The sequence below is a fragment of the Homo sapiens genome, chromosome X (assembly GCF_000001405.40).
Source record: "Homo sapiens chromosome X, GRCh38.p14 Primary Assembly".
Lineage (NCBI taxonomy): Eukaryota > Metazoa > Chordata > Mammalia > Primates > Hominidae > Homo > Homo sapiens.
In genome coordinates this window covers 20,038,254-20,051,992 of record NC_000023.11, presented here as the reverse complement: position 1 = coordinate 20,051,992, position 13,739 = coordinate 20,038,254, and the positions used below count along the sequence as shown (strand labels likewise).

At 43.1% G+C, this 13,739-nt stretch overlaps 1 protein-coding gene across 23 annotated transcripts in view; it reads left to right on the top strand.

Moving 5' to 3' along the window:
- The window catches only part of MAP7D2 (MAP7 domain containing 2), a 110,195-nt gene that overhangs the window by 64,915 nt on the left and 31,541 nt on the right, over positions 1 to 13,739 (top strand). For 8 of the 23 annotated variants that reach the window (NM_001168465.2, XM_011545483.2, XM_006724481.3 and 5 more), the window contains 3 exons: positions 1,047 to 1,169; positions 7,469 to 7,629; positions 9,364 to 9,491. In NM_001168465.2, the coding sequence (NP_001161937.1) occupies positions 1,047 to 1,169; positions 7,469 to 7,629; positions 9,364 to 9,491 (412 nt within the window). The remainder of the gene's footprint in view (positions 1 to 1,046; positions 1,170 to 7,468; positions 7,630 to 9,363; positions 9,492 to 13,739) is intronic. The other 15 variants (NM_001168466.2, XM_005274480.4, XM_005274479.3 and 12 more) reach the window with 2 other exon arrangements.

Below are 13,739 nucleotides of genomic sequence, written 5' to 3'. Positions count from 1 at the left end.
TATAAGGTTCATAATGCTACTGATCTGTGATGCAGTTCATGGTAAGCACCAGGAACCTGGAAGTGATGAAGAGCTGAATACAGAGTGAGGGAAAAGTTAATTCATTGCCATATATAATACATTCAAAACTGATCTAAATATTTTGGTCATTGACTTCCAGATTATGAATACTACTATTTGTCTTTCATTAAAGCTGATAATCAGTTGGCTGTTTGTATTTTTGTGCCTCTCACTTAATTTTTACCCTTATTGACATGTAAAAAGTATGAAAAGATATATTTTTATACTATTACAAGATGACATTTTATTTAAAAATCAGTGTGTTATGAAATGCTTCTTAGCGCAGGACCTAAAACAAGTGTTTTATAGGCATAATTTGTTTTCTACTTGGAGTAAAGGTTTTTTTGTTGTTGTTTTTTTTGTTTTTTTTTTGTTTGTTTTTTTTTTGAGACAGGCTCTCTGTTGCACAGGCTAGAGTGCAGTGATACAGTCTTGGCTCACTGCAAACTCTGCCTCCCGGGCTCAAGCCATCCTCTCACTTCAGCCTCAAGTAGCTGGGACTACAGGCGCATGTCACCATGCCCAGCTAATTTTTTTGTATTTTTTGTAGAGACGAGGTTTCGCCACGTTGCCCAGGGTGGTCTCAAATTCTTGAGTTCAAGTGACCCGACTGCCTTGGCCTCCCAAAGTGCTGGGATAACAAGCATGAGCCACCATGCCTGGCCATAAATGATTTCCTGAGTCCATATTACATCTGGGAGGTGGGCTAATTCTCTGAGTGATACAGGTTACTGTACTGCAATAGCATATTGAATGGATTTTGGTACCTAGTGACAATTAATGCACTCTCCCAAACTCTAAAGGACACATTATTTGTTTTATTTTACGATGACAAATTCCAAATCCATCCTTTGTTCAAATATTTTTATTTTCCATGTTCTGCCACCCAAAAGTTAATTTGCACCATGCATTGTGTTGTTTAAATGTTTTATTTTGTTTTGTTTTAATTTTGCTTTTTAAAATTTTCATTTGATTCCATCCCTCAGCTCATCACATGCACCTTAGTCCAATGGAAGCCATTCTTGTTTCGCGACTGTTGACACCCACACAGTCTTCTTTAGCCAGAAGCAGAGCTTCAGTCATGCTCTCTGGGCAGGCCAATGATTCAGGTAAAAGAGGCTAAGCTGGTAACACCAAGGAAAATGCCCGAAGAGGTGTTGGTCAGCCTAGGATTTACTCCTGAATTTTTGGATTTTGCTTCCTATTTGCTGGCTTTGTGAAAAGTCTTCATTGGTTAATAACGTCTTATACCAGTGTTTTGCTGTTTTATGTTTCTTTTGAGTGTCACAGAGGTGAGTAAATTATCTTATGAGTGAGAGCATGTTCTTTAGGGGAAGAAAACCCCACTTGATGAACTCTGGAGGTTAGTAGACTTTTCTTAAGAGACGGTGTGGCAAAACAGCCTGTAGACCAGTCTGGGGTGTCCCATAGCCAGCTCTACCACTCACTAGCTCTCACCATTGGGGGTAAGTTAATTAACTTCTTTAAGCCTCAGTTTTCTCATCTATAAGATGGAGCTATTTTAAATTATTTTGAAGATTAAATGAGAGAGTGCATGCAAATGAGATAGCACAATGATTAGCACAGAATGAAAGCTAGAAACTTTGAGAAGTTTCTAGCCTCACTACTCAAAAGGTGGTCCATGGACCAGCAATGGCAGCAGCATCTAGGAGCTTGGTTGGAAGGCCCCACCTAGCCTGCACACTGAAGTCTGAGAAACACTGGACCAGACCATCAAAGCCCTGCCTTTATCAAAGCAGATCAAGTCGTCATGTCAGGATTTGTGGCGGCTGGCATTCTCTTTGTTTCCAGATGAGCAGCACTGTGTCCACCTAAGGTCAGGTCTACTCTCTGTTCTCCAGATAGTGTACTCAGTTGTGATGATACATAAATGAGATAAAACTTCTGCCTAGTTGTAGCTGCTTCCAAACAGTTATACTGTTTCTGCAAATAAGTTGTACAGATAGCTAATAGGTTCATAAGATGCTCAACATCATTAATCATTAGGGAAATGCAAATCAAAACCATAGTGGGATGCCACTTTACACCCACTAGGATGACTAGAATTTTTTTAAAAGGGGAAATAACCACGTGTTGGTGGAGGTGTGGAGACACTCTTCCCTCACACACTGCTGGTGGGAATGTAAAATGATGCAGCTACTGTAGAACACAGTCTGACCGTTGCTCAAAAACTTAAGCATAGAGTTCCCATACGACCCAGCAATTCCACTCCTAGGTATACAGCCAAGGAAATTAAAAACATATGTTTGCACAAAAACTTATTCACAATAGCCACAAAGTGGAAAGAAAATATGATATACCCATAAAGTAGAATATTATTCAGCTATAAAAAGAAATACAGGCCAGGCATGGTGGCTCACACCTGTAATCTCAGCACTATGGGAGGCCAAGGTGGGCAGTTCACTTGAGGTAGGGAGTTCGAGACCAGCATGGCCAACATAGTGAAACCCCATCTCTACTAAAAATACAAAAATTAGCTGGGTGTGGTGGTGCACACCTGTAATCCCAGCTACTCGGGAGGCTAAGACAGGAGAATCACTTGAGCCCAGGAGGTGGAGACTGTAGTGAGCCGAGATTGCACCACTGTACTCCAGCTTGGGTGACACAGCGAGACTCCATCTCAAAAAAAAAAAAAAAAAAATACAGATACATGCCACAAGATGGATGAACCTTGAAAATGTGCTAAGTGAAAGAAACCAGTTGCAAAAGGCCACATATTGTGTGCTTCTATTTATGTGAAATGTCTGAAATAGGAAAATCCATGGAGATGGACAATAGATGGTGGTTATCAGAGACTGGAGGAGGGAAGGAAGGGGAGTGACTGCTTAACGGACGAAGTTTCTTTGGGGAATCTTGAAAATGTTTTTAGAAGTAGACTGTGGTTATGGTTCCACAACCTTGCAAATGTAGCAAAACCTCCAAATTGTATGTGTATATGTATACGTATACATATACGTATACATATATGTATATATATGTATATGTATTTAAAGACAGGGTCTTGCTCTTTTACCCTGGCTAGAATGCAGTGATGTGATCATAGCTCACTGCAGCCTCGAACTCCAAGCCCTCCTCTCACCTCAGCTTCCCAAGTAGCTGGGACTACAGGCACACACCACCATGCCTGGCTAATTTTTTGGGTTCTTTGGAGGGACAAGGTCTCACTATGTTGCTCAGGCTGGTCTCAAACTCTTGGGCTCAAGCGCGACCCATCTACTTTGGCCTCCCAAAGTTCTAGGATTACAGGTATGAGCCACCATGCCTGTCCTGTATACTTTTTAAAGGGTGAATTTTATGGTATATGAATTATGTATCAAAAAACCCTAGCAAGTAGGAAGTACCCCATTTTGAGAATAAGGAATATGTTGGGGTTCCCTAAGAGCAACTCCAGGATCAGTGATTTGCTAGGAAGACTCACAGGATCCCCAGTGAAAGGATGCAAGCAAAGTCAGCAAAGGAGAAAGACACATGGGACAAAGTCCTGGGAAGACCAGGCACAAGCTTGCAGAGTCCTCTCTGGTGGAGTCACTCAGGACGCCTTTCACCCCAGCAATGAGTTACGACAACATGTATGAAATGTTGCCAACCAGGGAAGCTTTTTAGAGACTCAGTGCCAACGGTTTTTACAGAGGGCTGGTCACATGTACTCCATGCCCAGCACATACCCAAATTCCAGGTTCCCAGAAGGAAAGCAGGTATTCAACATACACCATGTTGTTTGTTTATGCCCTGTGAGCCACTCAACAGTTAAAGGGGGATCGTCCTAAAATGTACGTTCCCAGGTGCTGGCTAAAGGCTAACCTTGTAAGCAGGCCTTAGTAGGGACAGCAGTCAGGCTTGCTATGTTAACTCATTTTTGCACAGCTCACCCACTTGACCCTTGGCCAAGGTGTCTTTACAGAAAATTTTTCAGTAGGGCCCCACATAGCAGGGGGTGAGACCATCCTGCAGTATTGATCTCAGTTATGTCCTTTAGGGGTTCTGGGACTTAGCAGTTAAAGCAAATCTCATTAACCAGAAGGTCTGTCTTTTTTTTCTCTCTTTCTTTTCTTTTTCTTTTTCTTATTTATTTATTTATTTATTTATTTTGGAGACAAGGTCTTGCTCTGTTGCTCTTAGCCACGCTGGAGTGCAGTGGCATGATCATGGCTCACTGTGGCCTCAACCTCCTAGGCTTAAGTGATCATCCCACCTAAGTCTCCTGAGTAGCTAGGACTATAGGTGTGTGCTACCACACTTAGCTAATTTTTTTTTTTTTTTTTTGTAGAGATAGGGTCTTCCTATGTTGCCCAAGTTGGTCTCAAACTCTGGGACTCAAGCGATCCTCCCACCTCGGCCTCCCAAAGTGCTGGGATTACAGGCTTAAGCCACTGCACCTGGCCTTAGAAAGGTCTGTTTGAGGCAGCCAGGTGGCCTCCTCCATCAGTTGCTGTATGAATCTTTTTACCTGGCCTGTGGCATCAGCTCAGGCCCAGAACAGCTCTGGCCAGTAAGTTGAAACTGATCTGAATGCCTTCCAGGCCTGACGCCGTGTCATGATAATCGTGGCACGCACATAGGAACTATGATCCCCAAGGGCTCATGTGGTTCCCTGGAAAAAAAGAGTTGAAGATGTTAGGGCACACTAGCAGGGTATCATTGGTCAGTCAGTTCCCAGTGTGGCCTCCCACTGTGGTGACTGGTGCCTCAGGGTGCTCAGTCCAGTGCAGGTAATTCAGCTCAGTCCCAGGTTTTATGGCGGCTGCCTGAGGCCATCAGTCCCAAACAGTTCTACCAGTGACCCTACTTCATCTTCCTGGCAAGTGCAGATGGCATCTGGAGCTGTTCTGTGGGGACATGTAGGAACTGGCCCCACTCCTGCCGGCTCATAGTCATGCTGTCACATGCCATCTAGGCTCAGCCATGGGTCTGAGTCCAAGGTGCTTTCAGCACAAGGAGTTTTCCTTCAGGAAGGAGAGCGCTTCCAGGAGCAGTTATGGAAAACAGAACACAAATGTCCTTCCGTATCCCTGTATCATTTTTACCCCAGGTGTTGGATTATGTTGTTTTTCTCCATGTCCTATTCAATAATCAAAACTTTACATTTTCTTAATCATCCCCTACTCTCACCCAGACCTTTCAAAGAAAGGACAAAAGCATTTCTTAAAACCCATTTTTATCCAACTTAACCAGAAAGATATATTGTGTTCAGGTATTAGGCTAAAATCCTAAGTTTTCGAAACATTTTAAAGTAGGTTTGTATCACCTCTGAGCCCTTTCATCTTGATCATTTTATCCAGTGAGCAGCCTAGAAAAGATCAATCCCTTTCCAGTGACAGCTGCATTTAACAAATTGCTTTACTGACGTGTGTAGTGAGAGAAAGGTAGAGGAAATATAGTCAGGATCTCAGTCTATTACAAACTGCAGCTACTCCAGAAAATTAAACACAAAGCATCAACAGCAGTGACACTTTCCCCAGAGGGAATGGAGTTCAGTCTGTCAGGGATGGCTGAAAGAGTCACATTGCCTGTGGTGTGACTTGGAGCTTTTGTAGGAATCATGTGTTGGGAATATAATCAGACTCTGCATCAGAAATAATAGAGCCAATGAGCAGCTTGATTGTGGATGGTCCCATCAGAGAACAAGCCCTGTCTTGTGGGCACTTGTATGTGACCCAGTCTAGCAGCATCCAGAATCTTTTTACAGTTTTGGGCCCCATGAAGGGCATTCTATATTTGTAGTGGTCCCTACTCGATTTTTAAAACTCCAGAAGCATGTCTTTTCCTAGAAATTGCCTGTCTTTTCATATCTCCCCTTTTCAAGAGGCTCCATTAGACAAAAGTCATAGCAGAAAAATCTACTACAGAGACTTGTTCTGGTTCTAATATTTGGAGTTTAAATTCCAGCCTACCCACTGCTGGCAAAAAGCAAGGAGGTTGTGTCTAACTCTCACTTGGAGGAGAAAACAAAAACCAAAGGCATCACTTGGGCTGTGCTTTTTCCCTCACTTTAGCTAGCATGCTACAGTCAAAAGCAGCCAGGGGGATCCATCAAGCCAACTCTCTTGGAGCTGTATTGGTCATCTTTAAATTCCGTAGGTCACTTTTACCTCTCAAAACAGCTCAGCTGCTGTTTTATACCATGGATAACTTCATAGCCACCCAGGCATCACAAGTTTGTTCTCCACCCTTTTGTCCTTTTCCCAAAATGTGATTTTACCACGTTTCAGCAAATCAGGGTCATTCCAGCAATTCCCATTTCTGACACTAGTTGTGCCAGAGTTCCCCAAGACCACCCCAGGTTTGATGATTGGCTAGGAGAACTTGGAAGAATCAGCATAGTTCCACGCATGGCTGTGACTTATTTTTTCTTTCTTAGCTTTTTTTTTTTTTTTTTTTTTTTTTCGAGATGGGGTCTTTCTCTGTCACCCAGGTTGGAGTGTAGTGGCGCGATCTTGACTCACTGCAGCCTCAACTTTCCAGGCTCAAGCGATCCTCCTGCCTCAGCCTCCAGAGTAGTTGGGACTACAGGAGTGTGCCCCCATGCCAAGCTAATTTTTGTATTTTTTGAAGGGCTGTGGTTTCACCATGTTGCCAAGGCTGGTCTCAACCTCCTAAGCTCAGGTGAGCCACCATGCCCGGCCCATGGCTATGATTTATTATAGCAGGAGGAAACATGAAAAAACTAGCAAATGGAGGAGGTGCATGGGACTAAGTTCAGAAGTAACCAGGTGTGGATTTCCAAGAGTCTTCTTCCAGTGGAGTCACATGGGACGAGCTTAATTCCTCTACCAACACATTGTGACAACATGTATGAAATGTTGCCAGGCTGGGAAGTTGGCTAGAAACTCAGTGCCCAGGGTTTTTACTGGGGGCTAGATATGTAGGCATCCCCTCCCAGGCACATACCCAGATTCCACACTCCCACAAGAAAAGCAGATGCTTAGCATAAACCATACTGTTTGTATAAACAGTTTAGACACCCATCAGTTAATGGTGGGAACCCTCCTGAAATCTAAGTTCTCAGATGCCAGCCAAGGGCCACCCTTATAAGCAGGCCTTTCCAAGCACAGCAGTCAGATCTGCTATGTTAACCCTTTTGTGCACAAGGAAATCGATGTTTAGAGAGGTTAAGTAACCTGCCCAAGGTGATCCAGCTATTAGGTGGCAGTGCTAGGTCTCTGTGGCTCCAAAGTACAGACTTTTAACCCCTGAAATAAACTTGAATAAACTTGACTCTTGAGTATGGGAGCCTTTTTAGGGTAAGATCCATCCTGTGTACAATAGAAAAGTATGATATTGATTGCCCAGGTCATATTTTAACAGAAATGTGTTCTTCCCAACTCTCTGCTCTACTTTTTCCATCTGTACTCTCTGTCCTTCTGGCTGTTATACTGTAACTTTCTAGTATTCCATGTCTGTCCTCGTTTAGCTCCTCTTGGCCCTCTTAACCCTTCTTACAAGTCTTCACCCACTCGAAACATTGAGAAGAAGAAAGCTACATCTACGTCTACATCTGGTGCAGGAGATGTTGGGAAAGAAGCCCTTTCAGGAGGAGAGGCCTCTCTGGTAGGTTTAAAACCACCCACCCACTCACTCCTCTAGACTGTGTTCTGTCTGATGGTGTGATTACTTCTGTGCTTGACCTGGGCTGTCTGTTTCCATCAATCTCCTGGGACTGCTCAAAGCAGGAAAGGGTAGATTTAGTTCAAAATTTTACCCAACCTTTGAAAATCATTTAACTTTTTGCACCCTCTTAAGTCTTAGTACCTTGGAGCAAATTCTTAATGATGTCCTTGTCACAGCCTGCCCTCCAGAGGACAGGAGTCAGAAGGAATGTTCTAAATATCCTCTGTCTTCCTCGTTACGGATATCTGATTCTGGGTCAGTCTTGCCCGTGCATCTAAGTGGAACTGAGGATCTACGTCAACTTTTACCTACAAAAGTAATCATTAAATATTCTTTTGAGATGAAGTCTTTTTATGTTGCCCAGGCTGACCTTGAATTCCTAGGCTCAAGTAATCCTCCTGCCTCAGCCTCCTGAGTAGCTGGGACTACAGGCACATGTTACTATGCCAAGCTTAAACATTTTTGATGGCATACTGGCACTATCAGTAAATTAAATGTTGAGAAGGCACCCCCAATTGTGTCTATTTATTTAGAAATTACACAGTGCCATACTACTTTTGTTAGTTATTGATTGCTACTTAACAAATCACCTCAAACCTTGGCAGCTTAAAATAACAAATATCTATTAATTCATGGGTTCTTTGGGTCAGAAATTCAGAGTGACTTAGTGGTTCTGGTACAAGGTCTTTCATGAGGTGTGGTCAAGATGTTGGCCAGGGCTGCATCATCTGAAAGCATGGCTGGGCCTCATCTGAGACGGCTCATTCATGGCTGTTGGCAGGAGGCCTCGGTTCCTCACTGCATGGGCCTGTCCATAAAGCTGCTTGAGTATCCAAATGATGCCACAGCTGGCTTCCCTCCAAGCAAGCTATCGGGAAGCTGCAGTGTCCTTTAAGTAAGTCACTAAGATCAACCCACACTCAAGAGGAGAGGAATTAAGCCTCACCTGTCGAAGGGAGGAATATCAAATAATGTCAGGACTTATTTCAAAACTACTTCATTTTATAATGCCATATTTTCTTTTCAAATCTGTTGTGGCTCTTAGAAGTGCATGTTTTAGACTCTCGGATTTTACTATACAGTGGATTAGTGTTGAAAGGGATTGATGGATGTGAGTGTGGGGGCCAATTGAGGACTTGCTGCAGAAAAGTGTGATAGGGAGAGAAGGGAGCTAACCCTTGTGGAGCACTTTCTGCAGGCTGGGCACTGATGTCTGTTCCCTTCTGCCAAAGGAGGTAATGGGAAGACCTACAGGACTAGATGGGGTTGCAGACCCATTATACCATGTATACCATCAGGGGCCACAGCTCACTGTCTTGGATGTTGTAACCACATTTTCACCCACCTGTAATTTTTTTGTAGTGATTTTACATTTTTATACTCTTTTCAGTTCCTATATGTCTAAGACCGTAATATGGTTCAGTTGTTAACTCTTTGAAAGACAACAAGGAGAAGGAAATCTTTGCATTTTGAGGCTGATTTTTTTTAACTGGATAATGCAAATGTGATGACCTCATCCTGCCTCCCCGCAAAGATGCCTGTCATGTGAAGCGTTATAGCTTCATATCGATCCCTCTGAAAGAAAGCTGTGCATTGTTCCATCTGGGGTATTAGTCTTATAAATTGTGGAAGTAGTGCCAGTCATGGACTGTGGCTATCCTGTGTCCCCTACAGGTGGAGAAGGTGAAGCGGGGGCAACGAACAGCAACTTCTCTTCCTGTTGTGAACTTCGGGTCCCCTCTGAGAAGATGTGAGTTTTCTGGAGGCATTCCTAAGAGACCATCTTCTCCTGTGATATCCAAGTAAGCATCTCTCCCCTTTGCCAGACAGTCTGACTGTCATGAGTCAGTTTGCTAGGGCTTTGTGCCATCCAGTGTTGCAGCTCCTGCTCCCCCGTGAGGCGTGGCCAGCCAGAAGTGGTAAGTGGGAGAAATGCTGGCCTTGGAGTTACGTGGCTTGACTCTCTGTGTATCTTCTGGGTGAAAGATCCTTTGCTAAGGGACCCCAGTGCGTAACAGGGCTTTTATTTACCAAGATGATGCATTCAGCATTTTCTCTTTAGGTCCATGAATTCCATTCTGCTTTTCTGGTATTCTTTTTCCAGTTGCATTTGGATTTAAGTGATTGCATTGGGCTTGGGCTCCTCCTGACATTCTCCCCCACCTTGTTGTCTCTCTCTTTAATAGAGAGACAATAATAACTTGTCAGCCATGATCAACAGTATTTTAATGAAGCAAATATATATGTGTGTGTGTTTTTAAGAAATGGGGTCTTGTTGGGTTGCCCAGGCCTGGAGTACAGTGACTGTTCACAGGCATAATCACAGCACGCTATAGCCTCCAACTCCTGGGCTCAAGTGATCCCCCCGCCTCAGACTCCCAAGTAGCTGGGACCACTATGCCCATGCACCATAACACCACCATGCCTAATTTTTGTTAGGAACTAGGTAAACTCACCAAGGAAACCATGTAACTGAAAAATTTACAATAACTTTGTGACCACCAAGGTCTTAAGTCATTAAAATATTTTACTGACAGTAACTGACAAAAGACTCAGTAAATAACTCAGTCCAGTAGGACAGTGGAAACCATCTTTAGTAGGACAGAGAAAGAAAGAGAAATATGATTTAATTTGGGAATATAGGAAAGTTTTTATATGGAGAGAATCATATAAACCTTATTCAGTGTATCAGTTTAGTTCAGAGAATGTTGGATAAACACAAGTTTAATGAAAACTTGCGAATTTGTCAAAAATATTTAAAGATGACATCAGCTCTTAAATTTCCAATGTGTTGCTTTCTAATAGAGACTTTTTCACTACTATTAATAATTTTTTTTAGAGATCACTATGGTTTTGATACACTACTAATACCTGCCATTGATGTGTTTGTCCTCCATAAGGAAAATCTTTCCATAGCACATCACTGAATTAAAAGCCTACTTTTCTTTCTTTCTTTATTTTTAGTTCATTGCAACCTTTCTGTGCTAGTATTGCCCATCTTTGGTTATGGTGTTGTTATCCTACCACCTCTTTAAATTTATTATGTGGACTCTACGATCCGTTTCCCTCTGTCTTATATCTGAGCCTTTTTCAGCTTCCACCCATGCATCATTACTCTGGTGTTAATTTTGGACATTTGCATTAACAGAAAGAAAAGCCTAGTTTACGCTGAGACTTTTACAGGCTCCACCCTCTCTCTGTCTTGCTGGAATTTGGACTCATGGTCCCTGCAGGGATACTAGCTTGCAAGTTTCATCATTATTATTGTAAATGGTAGTATCTTCTATAGAAATGAGAATTATAGGTATACCTAGTTTTGTTGTACTTTGCACTTCGCAAATACTGGTTTTTTTTGTTGTTGTTGTTGTTTGTTTTACAAATTGAAGGTTTGTGGCAACCCTGCATTGAGCATGTCTGTCGATGCCATTTTTCCAATAGTGTGTGCTCACTTCTTGTCTCTGTGTCACATTTTGGCAATTCTCAAAATATCCAAACTTCATTATTATTATTATATCCATTATGGTGATCTGTGATCAATGATCTTTGATGTTACTGTTATAATTGTTTTGGGGTGCCATGAATTGCACCCATATAAGATGACAAACTTAATGTGTGTGTTCTGACAGCTCCACTGACAGGCCATTCCCCCATCTCCCTCTCCTTGGATCTGTCTACACCCTGAGACAGAGTAATATTGAAATGAGGCCAATTGATAACCCAACAATGGCCTCTTAGTGTCCAAGTAAAAGGAAGTGCCACAGATCTCTCCCTTTAAATCAAAAGCTAGAAATGATTGAGCTCAGTGAGGAAGGCACATCAAATCTGACATGGGCTGAAGGCTAGGCCTCTGGCACCAGTTAGCCAAGTCATGAATGCAAAGGAAAAGTTATTGAAGGAAATTAAAAGTGCTACTCCAGTGAACACACAAACCATAAGAAAGGGAAACAGCCTGTGTTAGTCAGGGTTCTCCAGAGGGACAGAACTAATAGGATAGATGTATATATAAAGGGGAGTTTATTAAGGAGTATTAACTCACACGATCACAAGGTAAAGTCCCACAATAGACCATCTGCAAGCTGAGGAGCAAGGAAGCCAGTCCGAGTCCCAAAACCTCAAAAGTAGGGAAGCCGACAGTGCAGCCTTTAGTCTGTGGTCGAAGGTCCAAGAGTCCAAAAGCTGAAGAACTTAGAGTCCAGTGTTTGAGGGCAGGAAGCACCCAGCATGGGAGAAGTAGGCCAGAAGACTAAGCCAGTCTAGTCGTCCTTCCACACTCTTCCACCTGCTTTTTTTTTTTTTTTTTTTTTTTGAGATGGAGTCTTGCTCTGTCACCAGGCTGGAGTGCAGTGGCGCAATCTCGGCTCACTGCAACCTCTGCCTCCCAGGTTCAAGCGATTCCCCTGCCTCAGCCTCCCGAGTAGCTGGGATTACAGGCATGCACTACCATGCCCAGCTAATTTTTTATATTTTAGTAGAGACGGGGTTTCACCACATTGGCCAGGATGGTCTCCATCTCCTGACCTTGTGATCCGCCCACCTTGGCCTCCCAAAGTGCTGGGATTACAGGTGTGAGCCACCTTCACCTGCTTTTATCCTAGCCATGCTGGCAGCTGATTAGATGGTACCCACCCAGATTGAGGGTGGGTCTGCCTCTTCCAGTCCACTGACTCAAATGTTAATCTTCTTGGCAACACCCTCACAGACACACCCAGGAACAATACTTTGCATCCTTCAATCCAATCCAGTTGAAACTCAATATTAACCATCACAAGTCCACCTCTTGTCGACTTGAACCCATACACATCTCCTGAGATCATACATAATCTTCAAATAAAGACAAATAATAAGGTCGTAATTACGCCTATCCTTCCTACAACTGGAAGCATACCAATCCCCAACCCAAATGCTATTACATAAAGTTAACACTTAAATGCTGATATGACATCAATAAATCTTATGTCACATGATAAAGGAAAGAGAAAGGAAATGACAATAGTTTCTTCATCCACCATGAAGGTGGATAAGGCATTCCATGGGTCCACAGATGGTAGTCTTGGCAGAAGCATTGCATGCAGGATAGACAAACCTATATCCAGAGTAAGGGTATACATGCACAAACATGTTCTTAACAAAATAAGGAAGAAATACTCATGCAATTACAGTCCTCGTTTCTGCAACTGGTCCTGTGATCGTAGCTGGTACTGATGACTCCCTTCTTCTACTACCCATTCTGTATTCTCTTTGCCTTCAGCAAACACCTCAGCAGGTCGTTGTCTTTTACCTGGTGGAGTGACCCAAAGTTTCACTCCTGAAGGGTCTGGGCCATTTGTAGTCCTGCCAGGATTGGGCTCTTGTAGTTTTCCATTGACCTTAATCACAGGGCATGGTAAAACTAAGAGATGCCCTAAGGGATCTCCTGTATTCCACGCATACTCTTTCTTACCTCCATTGTGGAGTAGTAAACTGATTTCATCTTGATAGTCTGGGTCAATCACCCCAGTCAACACTAACTGTCTTCTTAGCCTGTTGAGTTAGAGGTAGGAGGAGCTTAAAGTGTCCAGGGGGCAATCTTTGTTGTATCTCCTGGTGGCAGCATTCCTCCCTCTGGAACTAAGACCTCTAGGCCAGCAGAACGTAATGTTGCGGGAACAGGAAGCAAAAATTTTGCTAATGGGTCACTAGGGGTGATGGTGAGTGGTGCCACTTCCATTTCCACCCCTTGATTCCTGGACCCGTGAATCCTGGCTGTGGGAGAAACAGTACCATGTATAGGACGTTGATTCAGAACATACACAGCCTTGTGAAGAACTTTGCCCCAGCCTTGCAAAGTATTGTTACCTAATTGGCATTGTAATTGTGACTTCAAAAGGCCATTCCACTGTTCTATCAATCCAGCTGCTTCAAGATAATGGGGAATATGTTAAGACCAGTGAATTCCATGAGCATGAGCCCACTGCTGCACTTCTTTAGCCGTAAAGTGAGTGCCTTGTTCAGAGGCAATGCTATGTGGAATACCATGAAGGTGGATAAGGCATTCCATGGGTCTACAGACA